Below are 20,259 nucleotides of genomic sequence, written 5' to 3'. Positions count from 1 at the left end.
TAATAACATTCTGTCATTCAGGCTAGTGGGGACTCAGAATCATATTTAAATTATTTAGATAAAAAATTGAACTTGAGAGCAAATTCATACCTCTAAAAGTTAAGAATGTAGTTGCTACTGTGACCTGCTGGTATAAGCTGAGATCAGCATAACCTTCTCACTAGTTGAGACGTTAGTTCATAAAAAGCTTTATTCACGCAAGGAAAATGTTCTTAAAAATATTTAATGTAATTCACATAATTCATAAGGAACTACAATTACAAAATCTTTTTATTAGTTATTTTATATTCTGCAAAGGTACAATTTTGGACTATTATAATACTTTCCCAGAACTGCCTCGGGGGAAATATTTTTATTACCTAGCAAAGAAACCTGATTTTAGACCAGGGTAGTTCTACAGAACATTTTAATGTAACTATTTTTCAATAGCTACATAAAATTATATTCATTTATATCATAACAAAGGTATACAAAGACCATAAAAATAGAAGTACAGATTCCAAATAGTTTACTATTAAAATTATGCAGATGTCACTCAATCTCAATTAACTATGATCTCAGTCTCCTTGTCACAGGGGCATGATCAACCACGTTACAGTGATAAAGAAAGTGGAACTCAGGGACGTTAAATTACTTGCCCAAGGAAACATGTACTAGGTGGAAAAATCTAGATAAAAATCTGTGATTGAAAACCTGTAACTCATCAAAAATTGAAGTACAAAAAACTTATATTCACAAATGAGAAGGAAACTGAGATATTTATTAAAAAATATATTCTTCTCTCCACTATCTCTCTTTCCTTCCCCAAGTACCCCAAACCCAACCTAGTTTTGAGACTAGCTCTTTTTCTACATGAATTATCTTTAGATTCAAGAAAAGAGATTTTAATTCCAGTAGTGGCAGAGTGGCTTCTATTTGACAAAGCCTTCTGAAGAGAACAGTTGTACCCTCTGGAAGGGCTTGAAGAAGAACTTCTTGAGGATACTGGAAAGATAGCTGAATCAGGTAGAAACTGTTAGAGAGTGGATGCTCTTACTGCTCTTTGCCTGTGAGCAGACTCCAGTCAGTATCACATGAAGCCGCTAAGACTCAGATGGAAACTCACAATCCTAGAATAGAATCTCTCCATCCTAATGGCTGGAAGAACCAGAAGGAAGAGGATCACTGCAGATCAAAGATATTCTAAAATAGAGAGAGCCAGAGAAAAGGAGACACCTTTTTTTTGTATATTCTCTTGAACTATATATACAGGATAACTCCAATAAGCCCCAATGAGAATAAAATTACAAAACAGAGATTTTAACTACCTCCTACCCAGGGGAGAATAAGTTTGGAGATTGAGTTCAGACAAATTAAATGCCTGGTAAAATAAACAAAGCAAAAAGTCAAAGCTCTTTAGAGGAATATAACAGGATATACCATCTCTAAAATGTATCATTCATGATGTTCAGTATACTATACAAAATTACTAGACATACAAAGAAAGAGTAACATGAGACCCATACTGCAGAGACAAAGTTGTCAGTAGGAACTGATCTGAGGTGAGCCAGAAGTTGAAATTATCAGATTTTTTTTTGAGACACAGTCTCACTCTGTCCCCCAGGCTGGGGTGCAGTAGTACGATCACAGCTCACTGCAGCCTCGACCTCCTGGGCTCAAGCCATACTCCCACCTCAGCCTCTCGAGTAGCTTAGACTAGAGGCATGCACCACCACACCCAGCTAACTTTTATAGTTTTGTAGAGATGAGGTTTTGCCAAATTAGATAAGAATTTTAAAGTAGTTATGATAACTATGTTCAAGGATATAAAGGAAAATATGTTTATAATAAATTAATAAATAATTCAGCAATAAATAGAAATTATTTAAAATATAGAGAAGACTCAGATCTTGCTAGATTGAAAAATAAAACTTTCCAGCCTTCCCAAAACCTAGGTTGAGTGAAGTAGTTGGGATAAGAAAGGGAGAGAATGGAAAGAAGTAATGTTCAAATATATGCAGAAGTAATTTTTAAATCAATAAATAGCAATCTGTCTTGAAGAGATTTTTGGATGTGGCCTTTGTCTGATGGACTGAACTGCAATAGGATTCATAAGAAATCCACACTTTTGAAAAAGAGAATTATACCACCATAAGCACTGACAATTTGGACTAAGGGAGACAGAGACGTTCACAACGGGCAGAAAGCCCAGGCAGAGGAAGCGGCTCAGCTGCAAAAACAGGTCTTTTCTTATGGAAAAAGAATGAATCAGAGGGAGAAACCAAGAGCTAACAGAGCAGAAAATATGGTTCCAGGGAAGATGACCAAGTTTTAATAAAGATACTGGAAAATGAAGCCAGCTGGTTTTCAGAAATGCTATGCATCAGTGATTGCGATGTGCCTCCTGTTTTTCTCTTTTTAAATGGCAGTGTCTATTGCTGTTTTCCTGTCCTGCCTCATCGCTGTATATTGGGTTTTCAGGTGAGCAGAAAATAAATATATCTGTATAGCTTACAGGGCTGTAGGTTGAAATAAGTCATACTCAAGAAACCTTATCCTCATCTAAGCTAATTTGGATGCCAAGATCCTGGATTTCAAGTCTAAGCCAGTTATCATAATGGGATGAGACCTTGAGGGTCCTGGGAGGTGGAAGAGACGTGACAGGTGGAAGAGATATGAATCATTAGGGTGGAATGTAGCAAACTGACGTTTTGACGGTCTCAAGTGACCTTTACTTCTTTAGTTGCACGCTTTGGTAGTCTCACATTGACTCTGGGCTTGGCTATGTGCCTAACTTCGGACAATAGGACATTAGCACACCTGACGCAAACAGAGACTTGATGTGTGCTTGCAAAAAGGGACTTGTCCTCTTGGAACATTACTTACTGGAACCCAGCCACCATGGTGAGAGGTAGCCCAAGCTAGTCAGGAAGAGAAGTTATAGGGGAGAGATACACCGAGCCGTCCCAAATAAGGCGCCAGGCATGTTAGAGAAAAAACTGTCTCAAATGTTCCATCCCCGCAGATACAACATGGAACACAAATGAACCATGCCCTCCATGCTTTACCCAAATTGAAAAATTGTTAGTAAATAAATTATTGTTGTTCTTCTGAGCCACATTTATTAGAGTAGACCATGCAGCTATACATGGCAGGAAAAAAATCCTTAATAAAGTATTTGTGAATAGACTTTAACAGTAGTGTAAAAAGACTAACTTATCATGGGCAAGGTAGAATAAAGTGACTCAGTAATAGATCAATTACTAGAGTAAATAAAGAGATAAACAACAACCAATAACTATTGATATAATACATCACACAATTCAAGTTAGAAAAAAACTATAATGATTTAAAAAAATAAGTCTTTGATTAAAATTCAAACCTCAGTACTCTTTTCTTAAACAAATTAGGGTAGTGGACACTCTTGGTGTCCTGCCCAGATTCTCTAAGATAGTAACAAATCCCCCCGGTTGCTGTGCTAACGGCTGAAAGCTCACAGCTACAACTTCTCTAGAAAGGTATACTCTGCAGAACAGAAATTGCCTTAGCCTGAGCTTTACTTTCCTCTTGGGTAGCCTGCAGCCAATAGCTGACTGATATAGAGCTACAAAAGGCAGACATCCTTGCCTTAATGGTGGGCTGCCTCTGTGGTACAGTTCATGCTCAGGCTTGAGCTGGACTCCAGTTGAGGCCATTTCTCTATTTATCCCCCTTCTCTTCCCTCCCTGCTTCCTTCATTTTTTTCCCTGCAATCCCTTTCTCAGTAGACTACATGAACTCAAATCCCTAGCTTGAGCAATATTTCTGGCATTTGAGCAATATGAGGAAAATGATAATTATAAGGTCTGTGGAATCTGGTGGCTGTTGTTGAACACCACTGATGCTTTGAAGAGAAAACAGAAAGCTCAGTACCATTAATCACCAATTCAAAGCCAAGTGTAAAAGCCTCTTTGGGCTTTCTTTCCTTCAGGGCTTCTTTGGCAACATTCAAAGCAATCCTCTTTTCCTGTAGTTGTGGTGGAGATAGGGACAAACTGAGGAAAAGTATTATGACCCAATTCTGAGAGTAGCAAAACATCAGAGAACATTGGATTTGCAGTCCTGGGAGAATTCTAACACCAAAGTCAGGGACCTGAAAGAGAAGGAATGGGACCTGGAGATTTGGGATGAGGCTATCCGGGTAGGTACACATACAAAAGTTGAAACCCAGATTACTCAGAAATTTGTGGAGATGAAGAAGTATTTCACTATTCTCCATACCCCAATGTAATAAAAGCCATTTATGGCAAACCCACAGTCAACATAGTACTGAATGGTTGAAAGTTGAAAGCATTCCCTCTGAGAACTGGAACAAGACAAGGATGCCCATTGTCACCACTCCTCTTCAACATAGTACTGGAAGGCCTAGCCAGAGCAATCAGACAAGAGAAAGAAATAAAGGGCATCCAAAATGGTAAAGAGGAAGTCAAACTGTCACTGTTTGCTGACAATATGATCGTCTACCTTGAAAACCCTAAAGACTCCTCCAGAAGCCTCCTAGAGCTGATAAAAGAATTCAGCAAAGTTTCCAGATACAAGTACAAAAATCAGTACCTCTTCTATACACCAACAGTGAGCAAGTGGAAAATCAAATCAAGAACTCAACCCCTTTTAAAATAGCGGCAAAAAATTAAAATACTTAGGAATATACCTAACTGTATTAGTGTTTTCACACTGCTGACAAAGACATACCCAAGACTGGGATGAAAAAGAGGTTTAGTTGGACTTACAGTTCCACATGCCTAGGGAGCCCTCAGAATCATGGTGGGAGGCAAAAGACACTTCTTACATGGCAGTGGCAAGAGAAAATGAGGAAGATGCAAAAGCGGAAACCCCTGATAAAATCATCAGATCTCGTGAGACTTATTCACTACCATGAGAACAGTATTGGGGAAACTGCCCCCATGATTCAAATTATCTCCCACGGGTCCCTCCCACAACACGTGGGAATTATGAGAGTACAATTCAAGATGAGATTTGGGTGGGGACACAGAGTCAAATCATATCACTAAACAAGGAGGCAAAGGACCTCTACAAGGAAAACTACAAAACACTGCTGAAAGAAATCATAGATGACACAAACAAATGGAGACACATCCCATGCTCATGGATGGGTAGAATCAATATTGTGAAAATGATCATGCTACCAAAAGCAATCTACAAATTCAATGCAATCCCCATCAAAATACTGCCATCATTCTTCACAGAATTAGAAAAAACAATTCTAAAATTCATATAGAATAAAAAAAGAGCCTGCATAGCCAAAGCAAGACTAAGCAAAAAGAATGTCACACTATCTGGAGGCATCACACTATCTGATTTTAAAATATACTATAAGGCCATAGTCACAAAACAGCATGGTACTGGTATAAAAATAGGCACACACCAATGGAACTGAATGGAGAACCCAGAAATACACCCAAATACTTACAGCCAACTGATCTTTGACAAAGCAAACAAAAACATAAAGTGGGGAAAGACACTCTTCAACAAATGGTGCTGGGATAATTGGCTAGCCACATGTCGGAGAATGAAACTGGATCCTCATCTCTTGCTTTATACAAAAATCAACTCAAGATGGATTCAGGACTGAAATCTAAGACCTGAAACTATAAAAATTCAAGAAGATAACGTGGAAAACCCCTTCTAGACATTGGCTTAGGCAAGGATTTCATGACCAAGAAACCAAAAGCAAATACAATAAAAACAAAGATAAATAGCTGGGACTTAATTAAACTAAAGACCTTTTGCATGGCAAAAGGAACAGTCAGCAGAGTAAACAGACAACCCACAGAGTGGGAGAAAATCTTCACAATCTATACATCTGACATAGGACTACTATCCAGAATCTACAATGAACTCAAACAAATCAGCTAGAAAAAAAAATCCCATCAAAAAGTGGGTTAAGGATATGAATAGACAATTCTCAAAAGAAAATATACAAATGGCCAACAAGCATATGAAAAAATGCTCAACATCACTAATGATCAGAGAAATGCAAATCAAAAGCACAATGTGATACCGCCTTACTCCTGCAAGAGTGACCGTAATCAAAAAATTAAAAAAAAAAGATGTTGGTGTGGATGTGTTGATCAGGAAACACTTCTACACTGCTGGTGGGAATGTAAACTAGTACAGCCACTATGGAAAGCAGTGTGGAGATTCCTCAAACAATTAAAAGTGGAACTACCATTTGATCCAGCAATTCCACTACTGGGTATCTACCCAGAGGGAAAGAAGTCATTATATGAAAAAGGTACTTGCACATGCATGTTTATAGCAGTACAATTTGCAATTGCAAAATCATGGAACCAACCCAAATGCCCATCAATCAATGCGCATATATATATATATATATATATATATATATATATATATATATACACACACACATGCGATATATATGATATATATATACACATGCGATATATATGATATATATATCACAGTTTCTTCATCCATATATATTATATATGTATATATTATATATATTTATATATATATTATATACATATATAATATATATGATAGAATACTACTCAGCCTTAAAGATTCACAGTGATCTGAATGAGACTGGAGACTATTATTCTAAGTTAAGTAACTCAGGAATGGAAAACCAAACATTGTATGTTCTCATTGATATGTGGGAGCTAAGCTATGAGGACACAACAGCATAAGAATGATACAATGGATTTTGGGGACTTAAGGGGAAGGGTGGGAAAGGGGTAAGGGATAACAGACTATAAAGAGGATGCAGGTATACTGCTGGGGTGATGGGTGCACCAAAATCTCACAAATCGCCACTAAAGAACTTACTCATGTAACCAAACACCACCTGTACCCCAACAACCTATGGAAAAATAAAAAATAAAATAAAAATAAAACAAAAATGTCAAATAAAGAAGTATTTCACTATTCCCAGCTTCTTGCTTGAAGACTATGATGAAACAAACCTTAAATGACACAAGTCCACTATAAAACAATGCTTATCTGAGGGTCTCTCCACCTGCCCCCCGGCCTCCAGACCAATACTTAGGGTTATTTCCCAGTGTATGTCCACTAAGCTAGTAATGGTGGAGCTAAGATATAACTCAGACCATGTAACTCCAGAGCCCATGCTCTTAACCATTTTGCTATACTGCCTTGGTCATCTAATAAAGCAGCAATAATCACATAGAACTATGTTGTCCCATATTGTAGCCATATGTGGCTTTCATTGACATTTATTAAAATGTACACATGCAGCTCTTCAATTACACTAACCCCATTTCAAACATTCAATAGGCTAGTGTTGGCCACATTGGTCAAGGCAAAGGGAGAATATTTATATCATCCCAGAAAGTTCCATTAGAAAGCACTGACCGAGAACATATCACACTCAATTATGTTAGCAACAAAGTATAATGCACTTAAAAAAAAAAAAAACCTTAAAAATAAATTCAACTACAGAGCCCATATGGGAAAAAAAAAAAGTCAAAGCTTTATTAGGTAACACAAAAGAAGTATAACTTAAAAAGCCTTTCCAGGAGCCTAGGTATAAGGATGAAAATGGTAGACGTCTGTTGTCTCCAATTTCCTTTATACATTTAACATTATTCTAGGTAGTATCAGCATACAATTTTATTTTTCACTACCCTCTGACAAAAAATGATTCTAAAATTATTCTGGAATGGAGAAAACATTAACAGTAAAGAATGAAAGGAGATTTGCATGTTTAAAATTAATCTGTTGTATTTATTTCTTAGGGCTGCTGTAACAAACTACTACAAACTTTGCCGCTTAAAAACAGAAATGGCTTCCCTCACAGTTTCTGGAAGTCCAAGGTCCGGCAGGATTGTGCTCCCCCTAGGAACCCTAAGGGAAGATGCGTTCCTGGCCACCTCCAGCTCTGGTGGCTGCCTGGCTGCTTTCCTGTGCCTGATATCACATCACCCCATTATCTGCCTCCGTTTTCACATCGCTTTCTCCTCTTGTGTCTCTCCAATCTCCTTCTGCCTCCCTCTTCTAAGAACACTTATCATCGGATTTATGACCCACTCAGATAATACAGGATTAATTCTTCCTCTCAAAACCCTTAATTGCATCCATTGCCAAATAAGGTAACATTTACTCTTTTACCGATAAGGTAATACTCACAGGTTCTGAGAATTAGGGCATGGACATATCTTTTTGGGGCCCACCATTCAGCGCACTACATTTACACGAGAAAATGATAATATTCAAAATAGCGTGAAAGTACCAAAACGAAGGTAGGCACTGTAGGAGACGAAAATAGAGATGAGGTATGAGGGAGATTCAGGGACCAGTCCGCATGTTATAAATTTTCAATCTCGCAAGCATTCACATTTTTTAAATATTGAATTTTTGCCTTTGTTTTCTGCAATCACCAAAGATTTCAGGTTTTATTAAATATCCAAAGTTGGTGGTGGCATGGGAAAAGAACACTATTTTACTGCTGGTAGAAGTACACATGGAACTTTAATAAAGCCATCCTCAAAGACATTTTGGAACCATTAATCAAAAGCTCTAAAAAGCACATATCTTTTGATCCAGCCATTTACCCTAATAATCAGAGATATTTGTAGACGTGTATAGACAAAGGTAATGATAACTTGATTATTTTAAAAGTAAAACTGGGCGGAAAACATGAATGTCTAACAATGGAGAACTGCTTGTCTAAACAATGGAATAGCCACATAATGATAGAGTGAAGAACAGTTAGTGACAGAGGAGAAATTTATAACATATTTCTATATAAAACAAGAGTAGGCTTCAAAACAATGTACAGGATGACCTAATTGGTATGGGCTATATACTTGTGTAGTTAGGTATTGTGCATGTGTGTGTAATATATACACATAATACACACATGGAACCAAAAAAGGAGAAACATTAAAATATTAGTGATACATTTTATTAACAAAATTAGCACATTTACTAATTTATTGTATTCATTCATTGTATTTTTAAAAACAAAATTTGTGGCCTATGTAATGATAAAAGTTGATAAGAATACGACTTCGAATTAACAACTCAATAAATAGTCTTCGCAGAAAATAAAATTTAAATCGCCCAAAACCAGACATCAGATAAGAACAAAGGGTTCTTAATCTCAGTTCTATTCTATTCCATTTGCTTTGAATCAATTTGGTCCTTAAAGGTCTTTGTGAAGCAATTTTGAAAAATTCACAAGAGGGCAGAGACAAACATTTACATTAAAGTTTAAGCAGAGATATGGGATAAAACACGTATGGATGCTGAGAAATATCACTTTGTAAAACTATCATTTCAACCTTAAGGACATATCAGAAAAAAAAGTGAGCAGTTTTATTAGTTGAGGTAATGCAATTATTTTGCAAAACTTTATTTTTTATTGATTTTCTATGAGGCATTTTTATGTCTGCAAAGGAAGTTCAAGTCCCACTTTTCACTTGTACTTTTGCTACCTGTTTATGCAGAATTGGCCACTGGGCTTCCTAACCTCTCTGTTCATTTCAGAGCAAAGTGTCTCCTTGTTCCCCATTGCAATTCTTTTCCACTCAGTTTTTTTAAGTTGAAAACAGAAAATTATAAACACCTGTGCTGAATAAAATCTCCTGGCTCTGCAAAATAAAAAATTATTCTTATTATTCCAATCAAGAAAGTTTTATTTTTGCCTGATCTATTTCCCTTGCTCAGTTCGGTCATATCAAAGCTGAGAGCCTGTGTTCAAGGACCTTAACAGAGACTTGGCTCTATTATAACGGCCTGTAGTCGGTTTCTAAAAGGTTAAGAACCTCCTTGCTGGGCTGGGCGCCATGGCTCACGCCTGTAATCCCAGCACTTTGGGAGGTCGAGGTGGGCGGATCACAAGGTCAGGAGATTGAGACCATCCTGGCTAACACGTTGAAACCCTGTCTCTATTAAAAATACAAAAAATCAGCCAGGTGTGGTGGCGGGCGCCTGTAGTCCCAGCTACTCGGGAGGCTGAGGCAGGAGAATGGCGTGAACCCAGGAGACAGAGCTTGCAGTGAGCCGGGATCATGCCACTGCACTCCAGCCTGGGTGACAGTGCGAGACTCCATCTCAAAAAAAAAAAAAAGAACCTCCTTGCCTATCAGACATTCAGTGGAGCCAACAGGTTTCTTCCAAAACAGTTCTGAAAATATTCACATAAAAGGATAGTTTGTGTATATTCTTGTACTTTACTTTACTTGGACAATATCTCTTTAAACATAATTTCACGCTAGGACTAGTTAATATTTATGCCTTGCTGTTTTCGTTGAGTTGTATTTTTATGTAGAAAAATAACAGTGGGTGGGAAAACTCGCTGTGCTGAATATGCCCACCCCAAAGCCACAGCTGAGTTATGGCAGGCTCTCTCAACTTTCTGCCAGACTCTTTTTCCAAAGACAGATGTGTGCCCCCCTATTAGCTTACTCTCCAATCTCCACACCTTGTCTATGCTTCTGTCCCATACCTTCTTCATATGAAACTTTAAATCAAAGATAATCATATGAAACAGGTCTGAGATCACATTGCAACTTGCATTGTTTCTTGGAAACAAATACAAAGGATGAATTGTTTCAATGATGTTACTTTCACATAGAAAATGGTGAAAGTAAGGCTGCTTATAGTTCTGCAAAGTTCAAAAATTACTTTTACAGAGCCCTGACAATTTGGAAGACTGTATTTATACACACACACATACTCTCAAAAGATCATTTAAACGGATTGATTCATTGCCCATTAGTGTTTAATTCATCTTAGCTCCTCTCCCCTCCCCAGACTTTGTGGGGTGGGGCTGAAAGTTCCAGATTTCTAATTTGGATCAAGCTAAAGGCTTGATCTTTCTGGCAACCAACTTCCATCCTAACGCTATCTAAAAGCCCACTAAGACCCACCTAATTAGAAGAAAAGACAAATTCCAAGGGTTTTAGTAGCTCTCTGCCAGGAACTAAGAACCAAGACTATCCTTCTTCTTATGTCACAGCCTATAATAATAATAATAATAATAACAATAATAATAACTACATAATAAAAAGAAATAAATAATATTCCAATAGAGGAGCTTGAACTACTACTTTGGATACATACAGTGCACCTTGAATTATAAGTAAGGTTCAAGAAGACTGTAGGGACAACTCAGTAAAGAAAAGAGCATACTACTGAGAACCATTTTAGGTTTTGTTCCTTACAATTCACAACCTTGGGTAATTCATTAATGTTCTCTGGACCTCTGTCTTCTCCTCTGCAAGTGGAATTAAACTATCATCTGAAAAGTCTCTTTATTTTAATTTCATGCTCAGGAACCCACTGGTATTTTCATGACTGAGATCATCACAACAACTTGGGAGTTGACAGACAATGAGAAAGGGAGGCAATACAAAATATGTTTTGGAAACCACTGGATTCAAGAAATGACTTTATTCTGGGACATCTCATATGCAAAAGCATAGAGAACTCTGTAGGTGAGCTAAATATGTTTAATACAATTCTTGGAATTTGGTTTTGAGAGCCTTCCTGCCAGTAACAGCCATGGTGAAGGAGAAATAAAATAAACACAGTGATTACAAAACACTTGAAGGTTCCTGTGTTTCATTTCTTGGACTGAAGACTGTGGACATTTTCATCGTCCCTGAGCCACCTGAACCACAGTTTCTGTAGTGGCAGCAGCAAAACCATAATTTTATGGTGAGAAGAATCCCAGCAACCAATCCATGTCCATGCCTGTATTTGTATTTCCCATCTTGTCCCAGAATATATTTCATGTGCCTGTAAGCAGCAGGTGCATAATTGCATTGTATGGATTAGTCATTCTTGATAATGCTTCTGCTGTTTGTGTAATGCTTAGATTTCAAACACTGATGATCTAAGGACACTGGAAAGGTACAATGGTAATTTTTAAAAAAGGCATTAATAGGTACTCATTTCAAAAATGAACATTCGTACCCCTGTGCATTCATTTGTTGGGAGCACATAGCCACACACTATTGGATATAGAAAGAAGAAAGGAAGCTCTGAACTGAAGAAACAGCTGGGAAGAGGAAATAACTGAAAGGATTGTTTCCCTATATATTAAAAAGACTGGGTCATCTCCTGATGTTTGATTGTTATTATTATTATTTGAGACAGAGTCCTGGTCTGTCGCCCAGGCTGGAGTGCAGTGGTGTGATCTTGGCTCACTGCAACCTTTGCTTCCCGGGTAAAAGCGATTCTCCTGCCTCAGCTTCCCGAGTAGCTGAGACTATAGGCACACGCCACCACACCCAGCTAACTTTTTTTTTAAATTTTTTATTTCCGTAGGTTTCGTGGGAACAGGTGGTGTTTGGTTACATGAATAAGTTCTTAAGTCGTGATTTCTGAAATCTTGGTGCACCCATCAACTGAGCAGTATACACTGTACCCAATGTGTAGTATTTTATCCCTCACCCCCTCCCACCCTTTCCCCCTGAGTCCCAAAAGTCCATTGTATTATTCTTATGCCTCTGTGTCCTCATAGTTTATCTCCCACTTATGAGAGAGAACATGCGATATTTGGTTTTCCATTCCTGAGTTACTTCACTTAGAATAATTGGCTCCAATTCCATCCAGGTCGCTGCAAATGCCATTATTTCATTCCTTTTTATGGCTGAGTAGTATTCAATTATATATATATATATATATATATATATATATATATATAAATATGTATAAATATAAAATATATAATATATATAACAATATTTTAATATATTTTAAGTTCTGGGGTACATGTGCACAAAGTGCAGTTTTGTTACATAGGTATACATGTGCCACGTTGGTTTGCTGCACCCATCGACTCGACATTTACATTAGGTATTTCTCCTAATGCTATCCTTCCCTCAGCCCCCCACCCCCCAGGAGGTCCCGGTGTGTGATGTTCCCTGCCTGTGTCCATGTGTTCTCTTTGTTCAACTCCCACCTATGAGTGAGATCATGCGGTGTTTGGTTTTCTGTCCTTGGGATAGTTTGCTGAGAATGATGGTTTCCAGCTCCATCCGCGCCCTGCAAAGGACATGAACTCATCCTTTTTTATGGCTGCATAGTTTTCCATGGTGTATATGTGCCACATTTTCTTAATCCAGTCTATCATTGATGGACATTTGGGTTGGTTGCAAGTCTTTGCTATTGTGAATAGTGCCACAATAAACATAAGTGTGCATATGTCTTTATAGTAGAATGATTTATAATCCTTTGGGTATATACCCAGTAATGGGATGGCTGGGTCAAATGGTATTTCTAGTTCTAGATCCTTGAGGAATCGCCACACTGTCTTCCACAACGGTTGAAATAATTTACACTCCCACCAACAGTGTAAAAGTGTTCCTGTTTCTCCACATCCTCTCCAGCATCTGTTGTTTCCTGACTTTTTAATGATCACCACTCTAACTGGCGTGAGATGGTATCTCATTGTAGTTTTGATTTGCATTTCTCTGACGACCAGTGATGATGAGCATTTTTCATATGTCTGTTGGCTACATACATGTCTTCTTTTGAGAAGTGTCTGTTCATATCCTTTGCCCACTTTTTGATGGGGTTGTCTTTTTTCTTGTAAATTTGTTTAAGTTCTTTGTAGATTCTGGATATTAGTCCTTTGTCAGATGGGTAGATTTCAAAAATTTTCTGCCATTCTGTAGGTTGCCTCTTCACTCTGATGATAGTTTCTTTTGCTGTGCAGAAGCTCTTTAGTTTAATTAGATTCCATGCGTCTATTTTGTCTTTTGTTGCCATAGCTTTTGGTGTTTTAGTCATGAAGTCCTTGCCCATGCCTATGTCCTGAATGGTATTACCTAGGTTTTCTTCTAGGTTTTTTATGGCGTTAGGTCTTACATATAAGTCTTTAATCCATCTTGAATTAATTTTTGTATAAGGTGTAAAGAAGGGATCCAGTTTCAGCTTTCTACATATGGCTAGCCAGTTTTCCTAGCACCCGAATCCTTTCCCCATTGCTTGCTTTTGTCAGGTTTGTCAAAGAGCAGACAGTTATAGATGTGTGGTGTTATTTCTGAGGCCTCTGTTCTGTTCCATTGGTCTATATATCTGTTTTGGTACCAGTACCATGCTGTTTTGGTTACTGTAGCCTTGTAGTATGGTTTGAAGTCAGGTAGCGTGATGCCTCCAGCTTTGTTCTTTTTGCTTAGGATTGTCTTGTCTACGTGGGCTTTTTTTGGTTCTATATGAACTTTAAACTAGTTTTTTCCAATTCTCTGAAGAAAGTCCTTGATAGCTTGATGGAGATGGCATCGAATCTATAAATTACCTTGGGCAGTATGGCCATTTTCGTGATATTGAGTCTTCCTATCCATGAGCATGGAATGTTCTTCCATTTGTTTGTGTCCTCTTTTATTTTGTTGAGCAGTGGTTTGTAGTTCACCTTGAAGAGGTCCTTCACATCCCTTGTAAATTGGATTCCTAGGTATTTTATTCTCTTTGTATTTTTAATAGAGACAGGGTTTCACCATGTTGGCCAGGCTGGTCTCAAACTCCTGACCTTAAATGATCCACCCAGCTCAGCCTCCCAAAGTGCTGAAATTACAGGCATGAGCCACTGCACTCGGCCTGATTATTACTATTTTGACATAGGAAAGCATTGCATGGATTCAATAGACATTTTGTGATCACCCCGCTATGTCCCTAATCATAAGGATCAGGTAAATACTTCACAGAATGATGCCTGGAATGCAATCAAGATAAAAATATCTTCAAAACTGTGTGCCCATTTCTATTTCTGCCATCTTTAGATTCACTTAAACTTCCTGGGTCTGATTTTTTCATCTGAAAAAATGGAAACACAAATAATTGTTCCACCTGCCTGTCTGGGTTTCCATGAGAATTGAATATTTGTAAAAAGGTGCTGTATACAATATGAGAACTATAATGTCAAATCCATGACAGGAAAACTGTGTGAGAGATAAACGGCATTGTCCCCTATATCGTTCCATAATCACATATGAAATTGTGGTTTTCTTGGTGCACTTGTGGTTATTCAGGAAGACGTGATAGAATGAAAAAAAAATTGAAACTAGAGAAGAGTTGAAAGATTTCTTGTAGAACTCTTTCATTGTAACGTAAAAGCACTGCAGCTCAGGAGGAGGATACCGCTTGCTGATGGCCAATAGTTGGATATAGGCAAACACACCAAAAATCAGTTCTTTAAAATTCAAAATTGGTTAAATGCAGATTTCAGAATGACCAATTTGCTTCATCATTGTTTTGCTAAATTCTTAAACCCAACACTTGCATCTGTTCCCTGCCCCATGCCACACCTCCTTTGATCGGCACCACTGTCCCTGTAGGTGCCTTAGCCTAAGCTGTTGCTTTGTCTTTTAGTATCAAATGGCTACAAACTATACTCAATTCTGCATAAGGAATCTATCTTAGTTTTTGATTAACATGTGATTTTTAACAAATCTATTTATTTTTACTTATGAGTTCCTTTTCTGTCTTTAAAATATATACTTTTAATAAAACATCTGCAAACAGCATTCATTACAAAATTATAAAGCAGCCATTGAGAAACTAACTTTCAAGATAAAGATTTTGTTTCATTTGGGAGAAAGGCAATGGTTTGAGAAACTTGCCATCTTTGCTTGGTTCCTGGGTATAAAGACCAAAGAAAGTAGATGTCATCTCAATTTTCAGCCCCTTTTGACCTAGGCTTTTCTCTCATTGGCAAAGATGTCACACCAGTTGTGGGAAAAAATAAAAGAGCGCTGGCTTTCCTATCTCTGTGTTTTTAAACTTCAGACATACTTTTCACATCCAGAGTGACTTAATGGAGTCTAACAACCAATTAATGGCTTTAAAACCAGTGGGGATCCTGTTCTGCCCCGTAACCTGAAATGAATTATTGATAGATGCTCTCAGCCCTGTGTCCTGTCAGATATTTCAAAGTCAATGTCAGGCTGTGCATTTTCTCATTCACTCTCTACTAAGGTCAAGATTTGTGAAGCAACACTCTTCCAAAGGGGAGAAAATAAAAGCCAGCTGCCTGCAAAGTGTGGAGCTAGACATAATTGGCCTCCCTTTAAACCCAATCTCTTGAAGATATTAGCAACCTCAACATGTATTATAGGACTGGTGGCATTGTTCCCTCAAAACAGGTGGAACTTTGCACATTTAGATGGAGAATGACATTAATAAGTACTTTCATAATTATAACAGTCACTCTCCCTTATTGTGTTTTCTTTCAATTGAGTCTTGGAACAATCCTGTGAGGCAGGTTGGGCAAGTATTATTTGCACCTAATATGGAAAAAAGAAAAACCTAAAACCTAGAGTTTTATGAGCTTCCCCCTTCCTCTTTTCTTTTTCCTTCTCCTCCTCCTCCTTTTTTACATTTGGGTAATAGTAGTGCAATTGTGATAGCTCTGCTTGACCATAAGACAGCTCTAAAAAGGTGATTTTTTAATGACTTAGATTTTAATGTCATTCTTCTATGGCAATTTCTGAATTAGCCACTTCTTAGCAAAATAATTAGTACATTTCTAAAGTGTTCCTTTCAAATACTTTAATCTGACTGATGGCTTAAGAATAGTAACACAATAAAATGTAATGGGTAAATATATGATAAAATAAATCTTAGAAAACTTCCAAATAAAAGTCACTAAGGGTCATTGAAATATTTTATATATACAGTTTAAAACTTTGAAAAATCTCTTATTAATGTAATCTCTTAAAAAGGAAGAAAAATTGCTCTCTGCTAAATAACCGTGTATATATACATCTTTTACATATATGTTGCTATAGTGTTTCATTTTGCATTTAACAACAAATTATATTCATAATATTTTTTCTGGGATATTATATAGTTTTCATAATTATTATTTTAATTAATAAATACTATTTGTTTTTGAGACAGAGTCTCACTCTGTCGCCCAGACTGGAATGCAGTGGTGCAATCAGGGCTAACTGCAACCTTGACCTCCTGAGCTCAAGAGATCCACCTCAGCCTTCCAAGCAGCTGGGACCACAGGTGCATGCCACCATGCCTTGTTAATTTATTTTTAATTTTAATTTAATTTAATTTTATTTTTGAGACAGAGTCTCCCTCTCGCCCAGGCTGGAGTGCAGTGGCACAATCTTGGCTCACTGCAACCTCCGCCTCCGGGTTCAAGCGATTCTCCTGCCTCAGCCTCCCTAGTAGCTGGGACTACAGGCGTGTGCCACTACGTCTGGCTAGTTTTTTGTATTTTTAGTAGAGGCCAGGTTTCACTGTGTTAGCCAGGATGGTCTCAAACTCCTGACCTCGTGATGCGCCTGCCTCGGCCTCCCAAAGTGCTGGGATTACAGGCATGAGCCACCGCGCCTGGCCCAGAATGAGGAATATTTTTTAAGTATGATATAGAACACAGAAGTCATAACGTAAAGATAAAAGTACATGAAAATACAAAATTTCTGCATGATGAAATCCACTAGAAGTAGCTGGGCACAATGGCTCATGTCTGTAATCCCAGCACTTTGGGAGGCTGAGGCAGGAAGATCACTTGAGCCCAGGAGTTTGAGACCAGCCTAAGTAACATAGTAAGACATTGTCTCTACCAAGAAATAAAAAAATTGTCTGGGTGTGGTGGCACGTGCCTGTAGTCCCAGCTACTTGGAAGGCTGAGGCGAGAAGGTCAATTGAGCTGGGGAGGTGGAGACTGTAGTGAGCTGTGATCCTGCCACTGCATTCCAGCCTGGGCGACAGAGTGAGAACCTGTCTCAAACAAACAAACAAACAAAACACTACAAAGCAAAACTAAAAATTAGATAAAAACTAAGGAGTAAATTATTGCATATCATATCACCAGAAAAGACTATTTTCTCCAATAGATAAATAGTTCCTACACATTCACAACAAATGAACCAAAATCTCAATTAAAAAATGGACAAAGCATATAAAAAAGTTGTCCATCAAAAGTATATATAGTTGTCTGGAACTTATGAAAGTGCTTAATCTCATTAATAATCAAAATATACATTAAAACCCCTCTGAGAAATTCTTTATTAAATTGGTGAAGATAAGGATATTTGACTACATTACTTGGGGGAGAGTATGTAGCGAAATGTACCCACTGACATACATTGATGATCTAATTTGGTAATTTGTATAGGGTCCAATTTGGAAATATTAAAAATGCATTTTTTGATCCAGAAATTTTAATTTTGGAATAAAAACTTACAAAGATGTGGCTATAAAGTCATTTTTTATACAATTATAAGAGCAAATAACTGGGGGGAAATCTAAATGTCTGTTAATACAGGATTGACTGGTTAAATAAAGTACACCCATAAAATGAACTAGTACTCAGCTATAAAAAGATAAGAAAATAGTTTAGGATTCTGAAATAGAAAGATCTCCATTTCATATTAAATAATAATGAGGGTGCAAAACAATTTGTATAATATGCTATCATTTTATAAAAATATAATACATAAATATTTGTGTGCATATTTGTATAATACATTCTTGAATATGCATAAAATATTTCTAGATGGCAGGAGCATAGAAAGAGAAAAGAGAGATTTCTCACTGTATGTCCTTACAGATTTTTAAGATGTTGAACCATGTGCATGTATTACTCATCAAAAAGTTTAATTAATAAAAAATTTTTGCTACTTTAATAATTCAAAGGGAAAACACTGTTCACTGAATATGTATCTTATGCAGTACTGGAAGATACCATGTATGAGTTAAACAAAGTAGAAGTCCACCAAATTTATTCCAAGTCATTTTAACTCAACTACCAGTAACAGTACTTTACTAAAAGTAAAAAAATCTGAGACAAATGCAAAACCGCACAGGACCTCAGGACAACAGTCTTAAACCAGGAATGTCTTTTGAAAACTGGGTTATAAGGATGCCCTCCTTATAAGCCACAGAGTAGGGAGGAACTCAATGTGATATAAGAGTACTTTATCTCTGCATAAGAAGACGATTAAAGCCCTGTCTTGATTGGGGAACTATTAGAGGAGATAAGATTAGTGGTTAGAAGTGACATGTACTCTCTCACCTAAATTGCAATCCCAGGGGAGATTACAGAATGAGAGAAACAATTCTACACAGTTTAGAGGAGCTGAGGGGAGAAGGGGGCTTCCTGTGACTCCTCTTTGGAGCTATGGAAGATTATTTGCTCACAGAAGTCAACATGGAATGGCTGAATGAGAGCAATAGCGTTGTGACTAGTTTAGGTGGCACAACCATATGACTAAATACAGTATAGCAATTACCAAAAAATTCCACTGTTGTTCAGAAGAGCTAAGAAGACTGGTGAACCAGAAGAGCTGTGTCCAGAGCTGACAGATGGCAAGATATACCTAGACCCCAGCCTCAGGCCATGGCAAGATCCGGGGACTCATGAAGTAAATGCACAATGAACAATGGCCTTTCTATCTACCAGTGATGAACAATTGGAATTTGAAATTTAAAAACTAGCCTTTACAATAGCACCAAAATATAAAATATTTACAGGATCTTCATGCAGAAAACTACACAACTCTAATGAAAGAAACCAACAGAGAAATCTACTATGCTTATGGCTTGAAGATTCATTTTCTTAAGATTCAAAATGTTTGTTCTTCAAAAGATACTATTAAGAGAATAAGAAGAAAAGCTAAAGCTTGGGATAAATGAGTTTTATTTAAAATGGACAAAATTCTTAAAACCCAATGATAAGAAAACAGGATAATTTAAATATCTTAACAGACATCTTGCCAAAGAAGATATACAGGTGGCAAACAAGAATATAAAAACATGCTCAACATTACGTGTTGTTAAAGAATTGCAAATTAAAACAACAATGAGATAGCATTATATACCTTCTAAAATGGCTAAAATTAAAACAAAAACCCAAACCTGCCAACACCAATTGCTGGCAAGGATGCAACACAGAACACTCATTTATTGCTGATGGAAATGAAAAATGACACAGCCGTCACTTTGGAAGACAAGCAGATAATTATTAAGTAAACATAATCTTACCGTACAGTGCAGTAGTTGTGCTATTAGGTATTTACCCAAGTCATTTGAAAACTTAGATCCACACAAAAACCTACACACAAGTTTTTTATTTGTTTGTTTTTTAATTTTTCTGTTGTTTTGTTTTTTGAGACAGGGTCTCACTCTGTCGCCCTGGCTGGAGTACAGTGGTACAATCACTGCTCACTGCAGCCTTGACTTCCTGGGCTCAGGTGATTCTCCCACCTAGCCTCCTGAGTAGCTGGAACTCCAGGCATGCATCACGACACCCAGCTAGAGTTT

At 37.4% G+C, this 20,259-nt stretch overlaps 1 long non-coding RNA gene across 6 annotated transcripts in view; it reads left to right on the top strand.

The window, feature by feature from the left end:
* The window catches only part of LOC102723985 (uncharacterized), a 50,131-nt gene that overhangs the window by 23,118 nt on the left and 6,754 nt on the right, over positions 1 to 20,259 (top strand). The window contains exon 3 of one of the 6 annotated variants that reach the window (XR_007064736.1): positions 7,764 to 11,577. The exons of the other annotated variants lie outside the window; for them this stretch is intronic. This is a non-coding gene — a long non-coding RNA (uncharacterized LOC102723985). Of the gene's footprint in view, positions 1 to 7,763; positions 11,578 to 20,259 lie in introns of those variants that run through there. 6 annotated transcript variants of the gene reach the window in all.

Source organism: Homo sapiens, chromosome 15 (assembly GCF_000001405.40).
Source record: "Homo sapiens chromosome 15, GRCh38.p14 Primary Assembly".
Classification (NCBI taxonomy): domain Eukaryota; kingdom Metazoa; phylum Chordata; class Mammalia; order Primates; family Hominidae; genus Homo; species Homo sapiens.
The sequence above is the reverse complement of the archived record's forward strand: the minus strand, read 5'-3'. Positions and strand labels throughout refer to the sequence as shown.